The following is a 20,784-nucleotide window of genomic DNA, read 5'->3' on the forward strand; positions in this document are numbered from 1 at the left end:
ATGGAAAAATATGATGACTTCAAGAGCCTTGCTAATGCTAGCTAGATTCCTGTGCTTGCGAGATGGGCTCTTGGCAGGAGGGAGAGGGCAAGATGGGCTCTCAGCAGGAGGGAGAGGGCTTCCCTGTTCAGAGGGGGACCTTCTGCAACATCTTCTTACACTTGACCTTAGTCTCTTCCTACTTCTAATCTTCGGACTGTAATGTTGCCCAGACTGACTGATCTGGCCGTAGGTGGTAAGAATCTTACAAATCGATGCCATGGACTGGCAGCTGCTCAAACTGAAAACCTTTCAGTCAGGAGTTCCCTTCTCTTGGGTCTGTTGTGATGCCTTCTGGCACTGGCTTCTGAGAGGCCATCAGCACTGTTGGCCCTTCTCATTGCCTTCTTCACAGTAGGAATTAAGCCTGAACAGTAGATCTCTGTCTTCCTGGTGGGCAACTGTGTTTTTTAAGACCTCAGTGAGAGTTGTCTTTGGAAACAAATGAATGGAACGCTGCATGCTGGCCTGTTCTCTGCTGTATCTTCAGGACTCCTGAGCCAAACCTGATTTCATCATCTTCTCGAGGGCTCAGTACACATTGAGCTGTCACCTGTGGTGTGTGGCCTGGAAGAAAGGCAGCTCATGAGTTTGCCTAACAGGACTCTCCCTTGGTCACTGAGGGCTGAGAAGTGGCACTAGGAACCACCACTGAGGCAGCCTTTGGAGGAGCCAGAATTCTTTGGAGCAGGATTGCTGGTAGATTTGTTAGTTGTAAGGCCCACATCTCGTCATATGTACTATTTAATAATACTGAGTTGTGACTTTATTTGTGGTTAGAAAACCAGCTATGGGACAAACAGTGCTGGTTTGTCTCTAAGCATTTAAAATCATTTGGAAAGTGTTTGTACTTGCTGAGAGGCGGGTATATTATTTTTGCCAAGTTCATAGTACCATCCATTGGTGGTATGAAATTAATTTCTGAGCCCACCAAGTTTCAGGAAGGGTCCCTTGCTCCATACTATGATGGTGATGATGTGGCTGATGATGCTGTGCTGGTGAAGAACACAGCTCAGCTCCCTGTGGTGGAGGAGGGTGTTGAATTGTCGGGGAGGAAGCTGGAGGGAGCTTCTTATCTCTGCTCTGTGCTCTCTTGGTCATGGGTCCATTTTCATTTCTGTAGCTTCTAAGGGGTCCAGGCTAAAGGCATAAAGTTGCTTTATGCTGAACAAACTGACCGAGCTTAGCAAGTAGGATAGCTCTCCATAAGTTTAATAGGGTTGGGCAATGTATTTGAACATAGCATGTGTTTAATTGTTTTCATTGTTTGGCTATATCTCTCTCTCTATATATATCTATATATATAACCAAAATACATATGTATAAAACAACCATACACACACACACACACACATGACCCCCCAAAATCAAATAGGCTGATAGATTACTCAGAAAAAGATAAGTCACATAGGAAGTGGGCTATATAAAACCAGAACTTCCATGAACACAGATGCTCCCTCCCACTGGCACCTGGCATGCATGGCAGGTGCTTTATATTGAAGTGCAGAAGTATATGAGTTTTAAATCTTTAAGAGACTTTAATGTTTTACTTGATAACAAAAGAAACATCACATCCTATTTTCCTGAATAGTCCTTTATCTTCATATGGCTCATAACTGTTATAGTTTTGATAATCATGGCATTTTGGCCAAAACACTTTGCCAGAAACTATAATCTCTACAAGTTTCCTTAGGCTATGAAGGTGTTTTAGAGGATTATAATTTTACATACCCCTAATACCATCGTCGGCTCTTGTTTCCTTATCTGCAGATGAACGAGATGTTTTCTTTCTCTCTCTTTTTTCTCTTCTCTTCTCTTCTTTTCTTTTCTCTTCTCTTCTCTTCTCTTCTCTTCTCTTCTCTTCTCTTCTCTTCTCTTCTCTTCTCTTCTCTTCTCTCCTCTCTCTCTCTCCTCTCTCTCTCTCTTTCCTTTCTTTCTTTCTTTTTTGACCACATCTTGTTCTGTTGCCCAGGCTGGAGTGCAGTGGCACAATCTCGGCTCACTGCAACCTCCGCCTCCCGGGTTCAAGTGATTCTCCTGCCTCAGCCTCCTGAGTAGCTGGGACTGCAGGCGCACACCACCATGCCTGGCTAATTTTTGTATTTTTAGTAGAGATGGGGTTTCACTATGTTGGCCAGGATGGTCTCGATCTCCTGACCTCAACCTCGTGATCCACCCGCCTCGGCCACCCAAAGCGCTGGGATTACAGGTGCGAGCCACTGTGCCTGGTCAAACAGAATATTTCCTAAGGGTTCATCCTGCTCCACAGTCTGAGGTTGTTATTTGTTAATTAAATAAATATTTGTTGGGCATTGACCATGTGCCAGGCACTGGGGCTCAAGGGGTGCGGATGACCCATCTGTTTCTCTCAGGAAGCTGACATCCAGGTGCACAGGGCATAGTTTACCTGTGAACAGAGAGGGCGCTTTTCTCCCCTCAGTAAGCTACCTTGCGTCACCTTCCTCTGTTCAAAGAGGACTGATAAATCACCTCACTAAGCAGCTGTTGCCTGCAGGTAGCCCACACCGGGCTGGGTGCTGAGGCACAGAGGCACACAGGGCGCTCCCCACAGGAACCAAGCCCGGGAGGCACACCTGCATGCCAGGTGCTGGGGGCTGGGGGAGTCTGTGTCCTGGTTTGGTTCATGGGCATCCTGGTTTTATGTAGCTCACTTGCTGTGTGACTTATCTCTTCCTCAGTAATCTGCAGCACCTAGATCATTCAGGTTTTGTTTTGTTTTATATATATGTACATTTTTTGGTTTATTTATGTATATAAAGTACATACATCACCAAATATAACCATATTATGGCTGTATTTGCTTACATGTATTTGGTTGTTTTGGTTATATATGTAGAGTTGAATGTCCTTTTATTTCCTTGTCATATCTATTTCTTATCTATAGCCTGTTAAGAATTCAAAGTTTTTGTCATCTCTATACAAAATGATGGCTATTTGTTGTTAGTGACTATGAATATTCGGAGAAAATTATCTGCATATTGACTTGAAATACTCTTCCTAACAAAAATGCTTCCCCTCCTGCTCCACGCTTGCCCCCCTACCCCGACCCCTCACTGCTGCTGGGCTCGCGGGTATGGTCAGCGCTGTGGCTTCGCCCGCGGCGGGCCAGGGAAGTGCATTAGAACACGGAGCACAGGGAGCTATTTCCTTCTCGCCGCCCCTGGTCTGTGCAGAGCTGCCTCTGAGACATTTCCTGTGCGGGAATGAATCCAGGGCTCCAGGGCTGTTTAGTCTGGGCCTTTGGGAGTTCGGTGCAGCTAATGCCTTCCAGAGGCCCAGCCCCTGCGCCTGGCGCTGCCCTCCTGGTGCCCACGCTGGCTGGCTCCCTGCCGTGCATCCCGGCCACGCTCACTTGCAGCGGGGAGTGGCTGCCTGCCCCAAGCTGGCCTGTCATCCAGGAATGAAGATGTTCTATTTGTGTTTTATATGGATTCACTTTGAAACTCCCATTCTGTGTTCCCATAAAGGGCATGCATGTGCCGAGCCCAGCCTTGACTCCCTCCTTTCGCTGTGGTGAGCTTGTTTATTTTCAGCGTGATTCTCAGCTGAGTCGCCCGTTTCCCAATAAAAGGCAGGGCCCAGCACTGTGGGCTCCATGAGGGCCTGTTTGGTTGCTTGGTTTGGAGCACGAGGGAAAACTTGATATGCACGTCATTTCCCAGTTCCAGGCAATGACCTGGGGCAGAGCGGGTGGGGAGCAGGTCTCCCGGAGCCATCTGGAATATGCCGATGAGTGAGCTGTGCATTAGCTCTCAGACCAGGGTCCTCTGGCAGCCAGGCCTCTGAGCACAGCGTCTGAAGTATCAGCCGCCACAGGGATCTGTGGGCAACAGCTGCGTGTGGCCTGTGCTGTTTCTCTCCTGACAAGGACCTTGCAAACAGCGTGGAAATGCGCGAGCCAGCGGTCAAACCCCTCTTCACCATGCACGGAGCTCAGCCGTCCTCTCCCTGCTCCTGGAGGTCTTCCTTTTTCTGTGACTGTAACCTAAAAACATTAAAATACGTTTATTGAGATAGCAAACTTTTATCCTCTTGGTGTTTGCAGTGAAAATAGTCCTTAATGGTGTAATTTTCCTTTCTTACCTCCCTCCGCTTGTCCCGTCCTAGCTCTTGTTATTCCAAACAGTGTGGATTATTGGGCTGCACCTGGCCACCCAGGCTGGTGTTTTGAATCAGCAGCATCACCTCTCCGGAGCCCATAGCAGGAAGCAATTGTTTGGGATCTGATACTGCTGGGCTCTCATTTTCCTTGTCTTAGAAATGGGGACACATGTCTGCCCATGTTGAGCTCTGGCAGGGATGCTGGACTTTTTGTCCTAGCTAAGAAACCAAACTGCATGTGGGTTACGGAAGTGGTCTAAGTTTCCCAGTGCCAGCACGAAGCCTCGACTGGTGAGTATTGTAGAAGAGCACTGCCTTAGCTGAGTCCAGTATTTCTCTTCCAAAATAAACGTGCATGTTCAAAGCAATTGCTTGTCTGTGGGTATAACTGTTGTGTGACTGGTAGCTGTGGGAACACACTGAGTGTCATGTATGACCTTGCGCTTGTCTTCACGCAGATGTCAGTAAGACTTCCAAAGTCTGTGTTGGTCATCCCTGGGTGGTGGGATTTAAGGGAAAATTTTACTTTCTTCTTCATGTTTTCTGATCTATTTAAGTTTCAATAAATGAACATCTTTTTTTAACTCAAATTTTAAAAATTTGTAACTTCTAGGGCTTTGGAATCTTTTTTTCTTCATGGAAATCGAACACAGACTGAGTCATGGTTCTTAGAATTCTGTAATTATCAAGTTGAAAAGAACCTTAAGAATTGTCTGGCTCAGAACCTGGGATTGAGATGAGAGGCTCCTGAGCCTGCACTTGCGTTTTCTCCTCAGACTCTCCTTCCTGTGCTCTGCCCGTTATCAACCGAGCCGTCCCTGCCTGGGTTGTCTATCGTGTGACTGTTTCAGATAAAGGCGGGTTATCTTGGTTTGGAAGAATTCGGATAAATGACATAGTTCTTCATTGCCTCTCCAGTTGACTCTGCCTTACCCACAGGCAGATTTAAGGCTGGGGTTGGCACACTGCCTGCAGGCTATGTATTGTCTGTGGCTGCCTAACAACAGAGCTCTAACAGCAGAGCTGGTGGCTGCGGGGAAGGCCACACAGACCCCGCAGCCTGCAGTGGTTACCGTCTGGCCCTTTCATGGACCCCTGCTGAGACTCATTAGACAGTGGGATGTGAGCAGGAGACCCACGGCAAAGACAGTGAATGTAAGATGGGAAATCCGCTGTCTGGAGGGGCAGTGTCTAGGGGGACCAGGGACTGTGGTAGCCTGCCTGTGGTGTGTGCTGTGAGCTCAGTGTCGGCCCCTGACCAAAGGCATGCGATGGGGCTGGAACACTGCCGTCGTCCTTGGAATTGGATGTTCAGACTCAGCTCTTTTGCTGTTGCTTCATCTGGAATGTTCTCATTAGGAATGTGAAATCCGGTGTGGGCCAATTCTTATGCCCTTTAAAGCAGATGTCGGGTTCAGGCTGTGGGCACTGAGTCCTGAGACTGGCATTGGTGGCGGAAAGCACTGGGCTCAGTCCTTGATTCAGAGAACACACAGCAGTGCGGTTTGGTGGCTGCTCCCACAGTGTCCCCATAGCCTTCCTTGCCTGTGCAGTGGCCCCAGTGGCTTCAGGACAGCAGGGCTGTGCCATAGGGCAGAGCCTCCCAACCAGAGGCTCCAGGATGTTGTGGAGTTCATGAAGGTAGCCATGGATGTCCCTGGCCATTTTACTGTTTCGAAGAGTAAGGTGGACATCACAGTTTTATCTATGACTGGGAAACACAGGCAGAGAGAAGGACTAAGTTGCTTTGTTTTGGCAAGAGGGGAGAGGAACAGACATGTGGGGATGCTTCCTGTGTACCAGACTGGGTGCTGGGTTTTTGACTTCCTTTCATTTTTTTTCTATACCATACCTCATGCAGTTGGCAGCCAATACTCCACAGCTGGGGCGTGGGTGGGACCAGAGTGGTGCCCTGATCAGAGTAGGCACCAGGCCACACTCACTTGGCTGCTGCCAGGCCCAGCCAGGGCAACGGGCAGTCCTGGAATCAAAGCCTGTGGTCTTTCTACAACAACCCATGGTGTCTGGAATTCCCTCCATTGTGGCTATGGTGTTCGTATCTAGGTGGCTGAAGCCTTGCTATGTTTGATAAGGAACAGGAAGATAAATGGTTAATAAATGTAATATATTTGGAAGATGATATTTTCAGGATAGGGCACATGCACTGAGGTGGGAGATTTTAACCCAGCGTCTTTGGAGGAAAAGTTGGAAATGATGCCTTGTGTGGCTCACTCGCTGGAGCCCTGCTGGCAGACCCATGAGGGCAGGGGCTTAGCGTGCAAGCTTCAGGGATAGGATAGCAGGAGCACAGGCAGTTTCTTTCTGCCCCTCTGTCAACATATTTCAGATTCTCTTTTAGGCTTGTCTAGCACTGATGTCATCTAATGGGGAGAGTCCTTGCATTTGCCTTAAATAGGGTATATTTAAAGAGTGATTTATACCTTTTTCCAAAACAATATATTGCCCAACTGTCTTTTGGCTTCCTTGAGTAGCCTTTATTTGAGTCGCACAGCAAAATCCCATATTTAAATGATTTTGAGATGCTGCTAAGAAGTGCATTCATGCCTACTAGTAGTCCTGGTCATTATCAGTCCCACTAAACCGGGACCTAGTCCTGGTCCAGACTAGAAATTGGAGTCCATCATTTCAGAGTCAGTGGTGACGTCAGTTTGGTGCCATGGCCTGTGGTGCTTCCTGTTTTCCTTGCCTGGCACTTGTACTTCATCCTTTCCCCTATTGGCACGCTAATCTTTGCATGGTTTTATCTTGATGAGATGTCTGAGGGGTTTGTATTTCATCCTGCAGCACAGAAACAAAGGTTAGCTCATTGAAAAGCAAACGCTGGTGAATTCAGGCACACTTGGAAATAAATGCAAACTTTTTGGCAGTCGTCTGTGTAACCAGGAAGCTTCACGAGTTGGCAGGTGGTTTCACATCTGTTTGTTCCTTTACTCAACAAGTATTAACTGAGAGCAAACAAGGATGAGCTCATGGCTCCCCTGAATGAGACCAGCACTGTGGCTGCTCAGGTGCAGGAGCTGCAAATCTGAAATCTTAGGTTATTGCTTTGGCTGAAAAGTGCAATCTCAGTGGAAACCTTATTTTTAAGGATCTCCAGAATCAGTAATAGGACACATTTTGGGTTACCTCAACTAAGGGACTTTTCTAGGTAGAGTGTACATAAAAATGAAGTAAGTAACTTTGAACAGTGTAATTGTAATCTATTGGCTTCAAAGAGAGTCTAGAGTAAGGAGTAATTCATCTTTTAACAGCTGTAAGCTGCCATGCCAGTAATAGTTTTTTAAACATGTCTTTTAGTTTTGCATCTTAATTATTTATTGGGTATGCACTAATTAATTTTTTTCCAGGGAGTTCTTTGAATATTTTATAGTAATACTTTATTTTTCTGGATCACTTGTGCTGAAGCAGATCAGAGAGCAAGCAGAAAAGATCCACGTGGTCTAATTGATATTCTGCATGTTATATCCTTGAGACTCTGTCTTCACTGGGGGCCTAGCTCCTTTGGGTTTTGGTCAGCACACTGGAAAGCCTCATTCTGTCCACCTGCATTTCCTGGGTGTCTGCCCTTTACTTGGCCCAGTGCTAAATCTTGAAAATTCAAAGGGTAATAACCAACATACAACCAGTGGGGGAAAAGCAGACTTGTGCAATGATTATTTTGTGATTCTTGAGTCAAGTAGCAATTGTAGAGTTTAATAAAATAGAAAAGGGTACAGAGGAGGAAGCCAATTAATTGAAAGGTTATTTCATTGAGGGCTGGAAGGAGGTGTTTTGAGAGAAGACAGCTGAGCAGCAGTGAGATACTCTGAGAGAACACCATGTGCAATGGAATGCTGTGTTTTTAGGAGCCCAATAGTTGCTCACAATTTCTTGATCAAAAGGCATAGGGGCCAGCCATGATGGCTCATGCCTCTAATCCTAACACTTTGTGGGGCCAAGGTGGGAGGATCACTTCAGTCCAGGGGTTCAAGATCAGCCTTGGCAACATAATGAGACCCTATCCCTACAAAAAATTAAAATAAAAAATTAGCCAGGTGTGGTGGCACATGCCTGTAGTCCCAGCAACCCAGAAGGCTGAGGCAGGAGAATCGCTTGAACCTGGGAGTTTCAGATTTCAGTGAGCTATGATGGTGTCACCGCACTCTAGCCTGGGTCACAGAGCCAGACCCTGTCTCTAAAAAAGAAGGCATAGGGGCATGGAAACAGGAATGGAGGCTGTTCCGCTGGCAGAAGTTAGGCTCAGCCGTGAACTTTATCTTATGTGACACGGCATTGTTGAACAGTTTTCAGCCCATGATGTGTATTTAGGGGAGAAAGATCACTAGCTGAAGGATAGGGATGCATTTGTCAGGGTGAGACTGGTGGAAAGGAGATTGATCACTTGGGAGATTTGGCATTTTAGGTGAGGTATGATGGCCTCAAGAGAGCCCTGCACTGGGGTGAGCAGGCTTTTCCCCAGCTTTGTCAGCCACCTGCTGTGTGACCTGGTGGAAGTTACATTTAAATGTTCCAGAGTCTGAGACAATAAGCTCTGTTTACTGGGAAAGTCACTCGTGTGGTGCTGAGATTAGCCATCTGCCTTTATCTTTTCTTTACAGACACACTCAGCCCAGAGTCAGAATAAGGGGGACTGTGTTTTCAGATGCAAAACCAGGGACGATGATAGCTCCTGTGCAGGATTGTGAAGCAGGAAGATTAAATGCCAGGCCTGGGGCTGGTGCAGAGAAGGAGCCCAATGCATGGTGATTTTCTTTTATATCTACTAAGAAAGATACTTAGGGTGGTACAAGGGACTGCAACTAACCAGGCTCTGCCATTGTAGCATGAATAAGTTGGACATGAAATAGTCTGGGGCAGAGATTTTTTAGACTTGGGGCCTGTGATCTGCCAGAGGGTTCATGCATGGACTTGGCAGCTCCGTGACTCCTTGGAACTGTGTGTGAAGCCACTATTTAACTTCTCTGGGGAGTGTGACTGTCACCTGCTCTGGGGGGGGGCACCATTCCTACAAAGTTAGTATCAGTGGTCCAGAGAAAGAACAAGGCCACAGGGTGTTGAGGTGAGGGTGAGGGTGAGGGGAGAGATGATAGTGTCTAGACCACACAGAGATCCTGCTTGTGTAGTAATCTAAAAACTCTGAATAACTTAGGACAGGTAGACTTCCCAGGAAAATGCTAAGAACCCCCTTCAACTTGATCCTCTAGTAGATTTCAGATGTAAGAAATATTAAAGCCTATTAGACAAGGCAATTTGTTTGATTTATTCTGGCCAACTGCCAGATGGCTTGTAGGTCAAGAACAAGTAAAGTTGTTTGTTTAATTCACCTTTCTCCTTTGAGGTAGGATTTCTCCATTAAACTGGAAGTTTCTAGCAGGAGTCTCATTTGATTTGCCAACATGTTTCCCAAATCATCTAACATAATCAGAAAATTAGACCTAAACAAAGGGCCTAAATCTTTTCTCCCAATTGTTCAAGTATGTTTCTTTGCTAAGGTATAAGCAAACAAACAAGTCTACCCTAAAACTAAAAATATTTTCTCTTTCTATATCCATATCAATCTGTGCTGCTATACAACAAACCTACCCTTTCTTAGGGTAAGGAAAAAATATGAGGCACCAATGTACCAAACAAAATATTTTCATATGTATTTCATACATTGCAGAGTCATATTCTATAAATTTCAGGAACTTAGTTGTCAACGTTTTTATCTGCCTCTTTGCTTTAATTTTTAGAGCTCTTTTATGAATGTTCTCTATTGCAATTCATTGAGCCCCCGTGAATAATACTGCTTCTGCTAGAAATGATATATACTCAGTGTGGTGGAGGAATATTGGTGGTATGCTTTAGTTTCCTTTTTTTTATTGTTTTGTGAGCTCTAGATGGTCTCCTGTAGCAGGTCCTCCAGAGATATTATACTTGGATAGTTTATATTCTCTAACTGTATTTGTCAGAGATTATTCCCAACATTGCTATGTTTTATTTATGTCAACTCTTTAACCCAAAGCCTTTGGACTCAAATACGTTATTTTTCAGAACCAAAAGAGTCTGTGGTGAGACAGCAAGGCAGGGCAGTTGGCTTATTTATGGATCATGCTCCTCTTCCTGTCCTCCCAGGAATTCACTTTGTCAAAGTTCTTGTGTCGTTCACATAGATCTAATTAACATTTTTAATTGGTGTGTCGTGTAGTTCTGGAAACTGCTTATTAGATTTCGTAGGTGTCTCTGGCAGCACAAAATGTTTAATGAGCAAAATAATTGTGTTACAGTGAAATGAATATGGACATATTCACTGAATTAATAAATGAATTAAATGATGACTTCATGGAAACCTCCTGAGAAAGTAGTTATGGACCATCTTCCCTGTGTAAGATATTCAAATTAACTTTTCGTGTTTGTGTGAAGGTTTTGGGGGAAATACTTTTTTTCTTATAAAGTATAATAATGTGTGTGTGTGTGTGTGTGTGTGTGTGTGTGTATTTTTAAACCAGAATGAGAGTCTGTAAGTAAACTGAGATTCACATTCTTTAATTGAGCCTCAGAAGAGTCTGTGAAATGTCATGGCAGCTGGAAGGAAACGAGTAGGATGTACAATGTCCCTGACCAGAGAAATACGTATCTTGCAGCTGCGTGGAAATTGAGATAATCAAAATTAGGTTCTACTTCCTGTTCTGACATGTGATCCTTTTTATCCTCTGATTCTGGAGGTGATGGCCAAGAAGTAAGAGGATATATAAAGAAAGGTAGTCTGTAGATTTTCAGAGCTGCTGACAGTGAGTCCAGACTCTTCCTGTATTAGATGAAAAAGCAGAACGTGAGAGGACATGACTTGCCCAGAGTGGTGGCTCGGAGCTGGGGGGTATCCCTGAGATCTCTTAACTGCTGCCCAGCCCAGTGTCCTTGTCTTTGTGTGTTTTCTGTTGCTATAATATAATACCAAAGAGTGGGTAACTTATAAAGAAAACAGGTTTCATGAGCTCACAGTTCTGGAGACTGGGAAGTCCAAGAACATGGTACTGGCATCTGATGATATCCTTCCTGCTGTGTTGTAATATGGTGGAGGGTATCACATGGTGAGAGGGCAAGAATGTGCTAGCTAAGGTCTCTCTTCCTGTTCTTCTAAAGCCACAAGTCCCATCATGGGGGCCCTACCCTGATGGCTTTATCTAATCCTAATTACCTCCAAAGACCCTGCCTCAAGATGCCATCAACATATGAATTTGGAGATTGTGTTTTCAACACATAAGATCTGGGGGACACATTCAAACCATAGCCCTCTTGGCTAAACCACGCTGTCTCTTACCCCTCAAAGTGCTCCTTATCGCAGGAAAATACAGGGGTCAAAAAAGTCACTGACGAAAGAACTAGGGCTATTAAACAAGACAGAGGCTGGATCATTTGGACCCAAAGGTGTTCTTAAAAAGACTCTTTGGGTTGCAAGAATCAGACCCATTCAAATTACCTCAAGTGGTGGGATCTTATTGTAAGGTTTGCTCTCTGTGGGGACCCAGGCACAGCTGAACAAATGGGCCTCCATGGGGTTAGGAACCACAGGAGAAGTTTTTTTTTTTTTCTCTAGTCTGCCAGTCACACAGCTGGGCCCTGTTCTCTGTCTACTTCCCTCTCTACCTGTGCTGCCACTGAACCACTGCCCTCCACTGGTATTCCCCACTAGTCAGGGCTTCGGCCTCCTTCCTTTGCCCACAATCTCTGCTTCTCTCTGAGTCCGCTGCCTTTCCTGATTTGGCAGATGGTATTGATGACTTTTTCTCTGTTTCCTGATTCCATTTCCCAAAAGGGACCATCTCATTGGCTCAGGGAATTACTTCACAGCAGGTACACAGAGGCCATTAGCTAGCCAATGAACTGGCTCCTCAGGGGTCAGGTGACTTCCCCTGGCCCAGTGATATGGTTTGGCTCTGTATCCCCACCCAAATCTCATCTTGAATTGTACTCTCATAATTCCCACGTGTTGTGGGAGGGACCCAGTGGGAGATAATTGAATCATGGGGGTGGTTTCTCCCATACTGTTCTTGTGGTAGTAAATAAGTCTCACGAGATCTGATGATTTTATAAGGAGAAACCCTTTTTGCTTGGCTCTCTTTGTCTGATGTCCTCCATGTAAGATGTGACTTGCTCCTCCTTTCCTTCCACCACCATTGTGAGGCTTCCCCAGCCATGTGGAACTGTAAGTCCATTAAACCTCTTTATTTTGTAAATTGCCCAGTCTCTGGTATGTCTATCAGCAGTGTGGAAACAGACTAATATACTCAGTCAGCTAAGAGTGTGGTCACAGGGGCTTCAGGGGCTGAGTCCAGGGCAAGCTTACTTGGAAGGGACCACCCCATGCAGAGAGCTCTGCAGTGGGATTTATCAGCAGATTTCTCCATGCAATATGTTTACCCTGATGCAAGCTTCCTCAGATTGATAACATTCCAATCCTACTTACCAATTTTCCCCTTCTTGACAAAGTCCTTTGATGGCCAGCCCGCTGTGCACACACAGTACTCACAGACCCTCCGTCAGCATGAGCATGTGGAGGTGGTGAGGAGAAGTGATGGCTCAGGAAGGTCCTTCCAGCTCGTCTGTGTTTGGTGTTGGACTTCTGTGTCAGAGTTTTTCAAATAAACCTGTTATTTGGGAATGATCTTAGGTTTATGGAAAAGTTGAGAAAACAGAACAGAGGATTCCTGTATACCCCTTGCCCAGTCTCCACTAATGTTGATATCTTATGCTACCATGGTACATTTGTCAAAACTAAGCAATTAACATGGGTACATTACTGTTCACTAAATTACAGGTTTTACCAGGGTTTCAGCAGTCTTGCCACTCACGTCTTTTTTCTGTTCCAGGATCCAGTCTAGAATGGCATGTTGCATCTGGCGCTGTAAGGGTTTGTGTGAAGAAAGGATTCCACTGGTGTAACACACACACACACGCACACTAACAAACACAGCAGAAAAGTACCCAAAAGTTTCTTTATCCTCTGGTCCATGCCACACTCCTACTTTCACCAGATTCCTCTTTATTAAAAGTTATGTTTTTACCTTCCCCTCCAGCATAAGGACCTGCAGTAGATGCCTGTTGCCGAACACACCAAATCCAAATTTCCCTCCCGGCCACAGGGGGTTCCTATTCTCTGAGTCTACTCTCCTGCCTCCTCTTTCTTCTCCAGCCATGGTAGTGGATGCTAGGTTCCATCTGTCTCCCTGCCTTTTTCTTGACATCTCTGAGCATACTTCATCCATGCCACATTCTAAGACCATTTTTCCATGACCTACACCTTTTTTTTCCATCCTGGCAGGAATTAGGTTTATGTGTTAGTATATTCTCTGGTTTTCCTTTTAGGCTTTACTGTAGTTATATTGCCATGGCTGTAAGGGCCTTGAATGAGCAACCAAAGGCCAGTTTGGTGATGTTTGCTCATTGCTCAGGGGAGGAGGAGCCTGATTTTGAACTTCAAAAAAATTATCTATGTGATAAACATATGTATGCCGTAAACCTGAATAATTTTTGAAAAGTAGGTAATTGCTTCACCTGTTGAAGCATGAAGAGGTTTGTCTTACTTAGTTTTCTGCTGCTATAGAAGAATACCACAAACTGGATAACTTATAAACAATAGAAGTGTATTTGACTCATGATTTTGAAGGCTGGGAAGTCCAAGAGCATGGCGCTGGCATTTGGTGAGAGTCATCCCATGGCAGAAGGCATCGCATGGTGAGATAGTATGTGTGCATGTGAGAGAATGGGGCTGAAGTCCCTGCTTTTATAACTAGCCCACTCCCATGACAATGGCATTAACCCACTTAGGAAGGTGAAGCCCTCATGACCTAATCACCTCTTAAAGGTCCAAACCCTCTGCATTAGGGATCAAATTTCCAACACATAAACTTTGGGGGACACACTCAAACTATAGTGTCCCAGAAAGGTGTCTGCATAGTATAATCTCACATAGTCAGGTGTTTTTCTTCCTGGATGTGCTTGGGACATAGAAAGCACATGGAACTTGCACAGGAGATATTTTGCATTAATTGCAAGAATGAATCGATGTTGCGTAAATTGGTGACTAAAGGAATGAATGAGTGGGTAAGTAATGGCTCCAGTTACATTGTAATGCTTTGAGGCTAGGCTGGTATTTCCTTGATATCAACTACTGCAGTGGTCTACATATAAAGTAATTCTCAATTTAAATGATTTCTTATTTTTAATTTTAAAATTAAAGTGTCAGGCCAACTTGGATATTTGAATTTCTAGGAAATAGAATGCTCAACTGCCTGTTTCTAATATATAGTTTATTTCCATATGCATATTGCCATATAAAATTATACTGTTTTTCACTCTCATATTTCATAAAATAACTTAAACGTTTCCCATGAATCTTTGACATTGGTGTCTTCATCATCACAGGACCCCATTTTGGGTCTCCTAACAGGTTTCAGAGCTCATCATCCTTCCACATGACTGTGTCGTGAGATGTATTTTCTAGTCGTTTTTATCCCAAGCCACAATGACTAATTTATTCAGCACTAAAAATTAACTTTTTAAAAGAAATCTTTAGAAGATTGTGTACAAAACTGTCCAGCACTGTCCAAAACTGACCCAGAATTGTGGGTCATTCCTTCTGGGTTAATTACTGAATCTGTGTTAACTTGCCTTCTTGTATACTGATTCTCAAAAAGCACATCCTGAGATGACTATCAGTTGAGTTAGTTTCAGGCTTGTGTATTTTCTCCATATACTGCTTTCGTGTTCTTAATAAAGTAACTGATAAGTGCTTTGCAAGGTGAGAGTCTACACAGGGAACCAAAGAGATGGTGAACTCTCCCTTGCTGCTGGGTGATTTTGGAAACAAAGCTCTACCTTATATCTAGATGCATATAGTAGTTCAACTCCCACACAGTAAAGATCTGGAAATTGAAGCCTGGAGAGGGAGAGGTTTCAGTGGCCTTTTGAAGGCTGTGCCTTTTGTGTATAAACCAGGACTAGAACATTTGAGTCTTACCCCAGCTCTTCACAATTCAGCCTTAACTTTTATTTTTGAGATAAAAAAAATGAGAAATTAACTTCTTTTATCCTGCCCGTCCACTCACTCTTTGATTCTGAAAATGTACAGTTCATCCCTGAAAACAAAAACAAAACTGATGAGTCTCTCAGCACTTTCCTACATGGAGCATTTGATCCTCCCAGCAGCTCGGTCAGGTCAGGAATTATTTATACTCTTTACATATAAGGAGGTAAGGCCAAGGGGGTTAAGTTACCTGTCCAGGGGCCCCTGCCAGGCCACTGTGTTGTCCCTGGGCCATTCTCTCTAGGGCATTGTCCCAAGGAAAGTGGGCTCTAGAATCCCAGAGACCTGTGCCCCCACACCTACCAGTTGCAGGTGAGTGCCCCAGCTCCTCAGAGCCTCAGTTATTCTCTTCTGTAGAATGGAGCCCTGTGGTCCTTAGTGGGGTTGAGTGACACGGTGTGTGTTGAGTGCTAGGTGCTGTCCAGGGTATCACGATCTCTCTGTGAACGTGGGGTGTTGAGCCCATGTGGTGGTTCCATGTGCTTCGTAGTCTCCTGCATGTGCTTCAAGGCACTGCCCCAGTTGCCTTGGCTGGCCCTGTGATGCTTGGGTAAATCCATATCTCCTCCCAGGTGGTCTGAATTTCTACACTCCCTTGGGAGTTCTGGGAGCTTCTTGGATAGGTGACTGGTCAAAGCAGTGTTCAACTCTGTTCCTTCTCCCTTACTTCAAATGACCAAGTTCATATCCTTGTTCATAAAAATAAGACGTTTATCGCACAAAGGCCAGGAGTTTCCTAGCAGGATGAAATGCAGAAAGGCAGCTTTTCAGGTGATGAAAGCAGATATGTCAGATGTGGTCTTTGCTATTGCTGTGGCGGGGCCCTGGGGGAGCTCTGGTCCCCTGTCTGTCCCAGCCGTGGGTCTGCTCACTGCTCAGAGTCCTGTGCGGATAGAGCTGGGCTGGGAGGCTGAGCTGTTGCTTAGCTTTGAGCCCCTCTGATCCAGGTTGTTGGCTTCCCCCATCCAGTGCTGGGGTGCTCCTGTGCCTCCATGGGCTTCCCAGAGAGTGAGCTGGTCCCACCAGAGGTCCCAGCCCACACTGGGCTGCCTGCTTCCCCCTGCCACCAGGAAGCAGCCTCTCCAAGTGCCTCCTGTGAATGTGCAGCCTCCTATTCTGCCAGAACTTTCTGGTTGGGTTTGCAGAGTTCAGGGAGTTGTGCCACATACAAGAAAGTATTTGCCAAGCCCAATGAGGCAGTTACGTGGTTGTCCAGAAAACTGAGCAAAGACAGTTTGTCATTGAAGCTGGTCCCTCAGCGAAAAAGGCCTCATCAAACAACCAAGAATGTAAGAAAATATATACATTTTCCATTTATTTCCACCTGAAAAATATGAAAAGAATTGTAGGTGTCTGTGAATATACCCATATTGTAGCACCACCTACCTGATTAAAATATGGAACCTGCTTATTATCTGTTTGTGTATTTCGATTCCCTTTGTTGGGGCTGTTACACCGTGGAGATAGTAAAATGTGATTAGAGTGGAATATATTCATTTGTAGACAGTTTGGATTGCATCTGAGATATTTTCCTGATTGTTAGAATTTCTCTCCCATTGGGATTTAAAGGGTGGTTATTTTTCCGTATATTTATCAAGTGGAAGAATAATTTGACAGGGACATGTTATCAGGTAAGGCATCTTTCCTAATCGATGTGAATAAAATCCCATGTAAGAGGAGCTCAGTGTGTTTGCATATTTTTTTAAACAATAAAAGATTGGATTGTTAGAGCATCAGAGAAGAGTGAAGACAGCTGTGCTTTTTATCACAGGGAACCTAAAGAAAAATTCTTACTTTAAATCCTTGATCCGAAGAGGCAAGTTAATTTAACAAAATAAACTCAGGACATCACATTTACTTGAGTCACAGAGCATGTTGAAAGGTGCAGACATCACAGGGCATCAAAGGATTTCACAGAATGCTGGGGGTGGAGTCTCTGTCTCTTTGGCCAGGCGTTGGTTTTCCTGCCTTTGGGGTTGGCAGAGAAGCCGGAGCCAAGTCCCTGGACAGGACAGCCCTCAGACACTCCTGGTTCACCTTAGTTCACTAGGCACATGGCTCTTGGTGGAAAAGACGATTTCTGGAAAGGAAGTGGGAGACTTTAGACAGACAAAACTCATCCAGGATTTTATATTGTGATTTCAAATTAACTTGGCACACTAATACTTCAGTTATTAATCTTCTGTGGCACTGTAGGAGAAATGAGGCGACAGTGTCTTGTAATTAGGGGCATTCTTGTGCCTGTCAAAGGGGCCAAGTCGGGTGGTGTGGATGCATCCTCCCCCAGCTCCTGGGACGGCTGGCCCTGTGCCCTGTGCCCCGTGCTTGGCCAGCAGAGGCCTGGCCTTGGCTGTCACGAGCACATTTCATACCATTCTCTGGGCCGTTTTTATTCCCTTAGTCACTGGGATCCTGTTTTGTATTTAACCCAGTGTCTTGACTTGTGTTGTACATTCCCAGGGTGATTTTAACTTCAGGAGAGGGCAGGCCCTGTCTCTGTGTCCTTGAAATGCTCCTTTTAATAATTTTCCCAGCATTTGAAAATGTCATTACTGAGATTTCTGTTTTTGCCTCACTGAAAAGAAGACGAAGTGAACTGGAGTGCTTCCCGTGTACGAGATGCTTTCCTTTGCATTTGCCCAGATGAATTCATGTAATCCTGACTGCAGCCCTAGTGGCAGGTACTGCCATTATCCCCATCCTGCAGATGAAAATGCTGAGGCACGGAGAAGTTGAGTATCTTGTGTGAGGTCACATAGCATTAAGAGGCGGAGCCTCGATACGAACCTGGGGAGTGAGGCTTTAGAGTGCAAACACTTCACCGCCGTGCTGGACCACCCGTGGGAGTTCAAGGTGTGTGTAAAATGAAAGCATGTAGGGCCAGTTACCCAGACCTTGATTTAGAAAGTCAATTCTGTTTTTGACATTTCCAGCAACCAGTAAAGCAAACAAATAACCTCCTGCCCCCAGTTTATTAAAAAACAGCTCCTGTTGGAATGGGGTTTTGGGTTGGGATGGAGCCCCCTAGGAAGACCCTGCGGGAAATGCATCTTACTAGCTTTTCTCAAAGGAGCCACACACACAGCTTTGAGGTAACCATTTTTCTTGGGGTACTCTGAGGACTGGGCAGCATGTGGGAATGCAGAGGCTCCAGTGAATATCACTGCCTTAGGTTCCACCTACAACCCCAGCACCAGCCTCACCTCCCCAGCTATGGGGTCAGAGTTCAGTTTCATTTTCAGTAAATGTGTGATTCTGTGGGTCCATATATTCACCCAGTTTATAGCAAAAAAGCGTGCTAGAACTAATTGGAAGTGTAGAAGCCATGATGCTGCCTCCCCAACCTGTGCCCCTAGAAGTTTGCTCGTCTCCCAGAGGCGGAGCTGGGCCTAGCCCTGGCACCCCACCCCATAGGTGCTGGCCCCACCTGTCACGGATCATTTAAGCATATTTTGCTAGCATCATGACCACACTCTTTGCTGGCTCCAGAGCCACAGGGTGAGGGACACAGGACTCTGTCCCCACGGTGCTGACCACTTCGTCGTCATTACAAGAAAGTATTCCCAAAGGCATCGGTTTACTTGTTATCTTAGGTTGAGTTTTAAAATCTACTTGAAATTCCTATAATTGCACAATTTAAAAAACTCTTCGATCTGATGTGACCTGTTTAGTCTTTTCTGTTTAGTCTGAATTAGGAAAGCTCTTTTCTCCAGAGTGCAAAAGACAACCACAGACTTTTTTTTTTTAAAGGTATTATTTAGAAAAAGCTAAGATGGTGCTTAAGGCCGCACACACGTAAATACAGTCATGTACTGCATGAAGACGTTGCTGTTGTTGACAATTGCATATACTGTGTGATAAGATTATATCTTTACTGTACCTTCCTTGTGTTTAGATACAAACATTTACCATTGTGTTCCAGCTCCTAAGGTGTCTAGTACAGTCCATGCTGCACAGCTTTATAGGCTAGGAGCATAGGCTGTGCCACATAGCCTAGGTATGTCTTAGGCTATGCCATCTGGAGTTATGCATGTACACTCTGATGTTCACACAATGATGTCACCCAAGGACTCATTTTTCAGAATATATTCTCCTTGTTAAGTGGTGCATGACTGTGTATATATGTCTGTATGTCCACACACAGGCACACAGGTGGGCTTGCTTCCGACTTCCCTCTGACACCATCCTCTGCCATTGTGACCAGGACCCCATTCTCAGCTTATCAGCACGGACTGGGTGCTCTCTTCCTGCCGCCGTCACCGTGGGTGTTAAGCCTGCCTGTGTTGTGCCTGTCAGGACTCTCAGGAACCCCTCAGAGCAGCCCGTCTTTGGAGGGCGGTAGGGATTGTAAGGAAGGGGGGCACAGCGGGGGTTGCCTCTGCTCCATCTCACCTGCTTGGGTGGAGTCTGCACCGGCTTGCAGCCCACCCCGTGAGCGTAGTGAGTGGTCCCGAACTGCAGATGTGTGCTCTGTGCGGTGCTCTCGGACATCTAATGAGCATGGGAAACAAAATATGACTTACAGCAGTGTATTGACTTCCCAAGAACCAGACCTTGCTCCCTGGGCCCGAAGGGCTTTCCTGCTGCAGCTTTGCCATGTAGCAGGGGTGCCTCTGAAAACTCCACCGCCACCCCAGCAGACAACTGTGCCAGTCTTTCTGTGGGATCTGGGACACAGAAAATGGAAGCTGTCTGGCCTGGAGCGTGGTCTCTTGGTCCTGTCTTCCTCACAGTGATCACCACCTCCAGGGTTGCATGGGAGGCTGCTGCTCAGCGGGGTCTGGGACCCCATGGGCCCAGCCATCCACACAACAGGTGTGGATGAAGCATGCGCATTGTTTCCCCCTGGGGTTTGTGTTGTCCCTGGGTTTGGCTCTTGGTCTGGATGAAAGAGACCACGTTCAGAGAAGCGGCATCCCCCGTCATTGTGACTGCATCCCTATGGAGGGGCAGGGGTCCCGTCCCCTCTCCGGCAGCAGTTTGCCTATGGTGAGGGTGCAGTCATCCACCTGGGCTGCATGCCGAGGGCTGGAATGCAAAGCGCTTGGGTTTGCTCCTGACTTTGCAAGACCACCTCCCACCACGTGGTGCTTGCCGTCAGTGTGTGCTTTGAGACTCTGAGAGACACCATCGCAGAAGCCAAGCGTTACACTTTGGTTATTTATTGACATCCATGAACAGATTAAAAACTGTTCCTACTTTCTAGGGTGCTTCTCTCTGTGCAGTTGCCAGGGGGAACGTGTTCGCTTTGCCGGGGCATTGTGTAGCAGCTGGCATTTAGTCTCACAACTTTTTCTTTGTTTAATTAAAAAAAAAACCTGAAAATGTTTGTGAAGTACTCTTTTCATCTTGTGAAATGGAAGCTGCTTCTGAGGGAAGCAGGCAGCCTCTGTCTTCACCAGCCCCTTCCACCCTCCCATAGGAGTCCCTCCAGTGGAAACCCACTCACTCCCCCTGAAGCCACTCTCTGAGAGAGATGCCTCCACTGCCTTGCTAGCAGAGGCTTCCCCAGGCTGTGACCTCGCTGACAGTGTTGT

General features: G+C 45.7%; 2 protein-coding genes across 3 annotated transcripts in view, besides 1 other annotated feature; both read left to right on the plus strand.

Moving 5' to 3' along the window:
- The window catches only part of RANBP2 (RAN binding protein 2), a 1,122,820-nt gene that overhangs the window by 448,898 nt on the left and 653,138 nt on the right, over window positions 1-20,784 (plus strand). The window lies entirely within an intron of this gene.
- Window positions 1-20,784, plus strand: part of SH3RF3 (SH3 domain containing ring finger 3) — a 375,430-nt gene that overhangs the window by 39,175 nt on the left and 315,471 nt on the right. The window lies entirely within an intron of this gene.
- Window positions 9,069-9,243: a silencer, noted in NCBI's record as "fragment chr2:109793904-109794078 (GRCh37/hg19 assembly coordinates)". NCBI's record gives its function as "represses an EF-1alpha promoter that drives an FKBP-Casp9 reporter gene in an ReSE screen in HepG2 liver carcinoma cells {active_cell/tissue: HepG2}" and the evidence as "EXISTENCE:reporter gene assay evidence [ECO:0000049][PMID:32094911]".

The sequence above is a fragment of the Homo sapiens genome, chromosome 2 (genome assembly GCF_000001405.40).
Source record: "Homo sapiens chromosome 2, GRCh38.p14 Primary Assembly".
In the NCBI taxonomy this organism is placed as follows: Eukaryota; Metazoa; Chordata; class Mammalia; order Primates; family Hominidae; genus Homo; species Homo sapiens.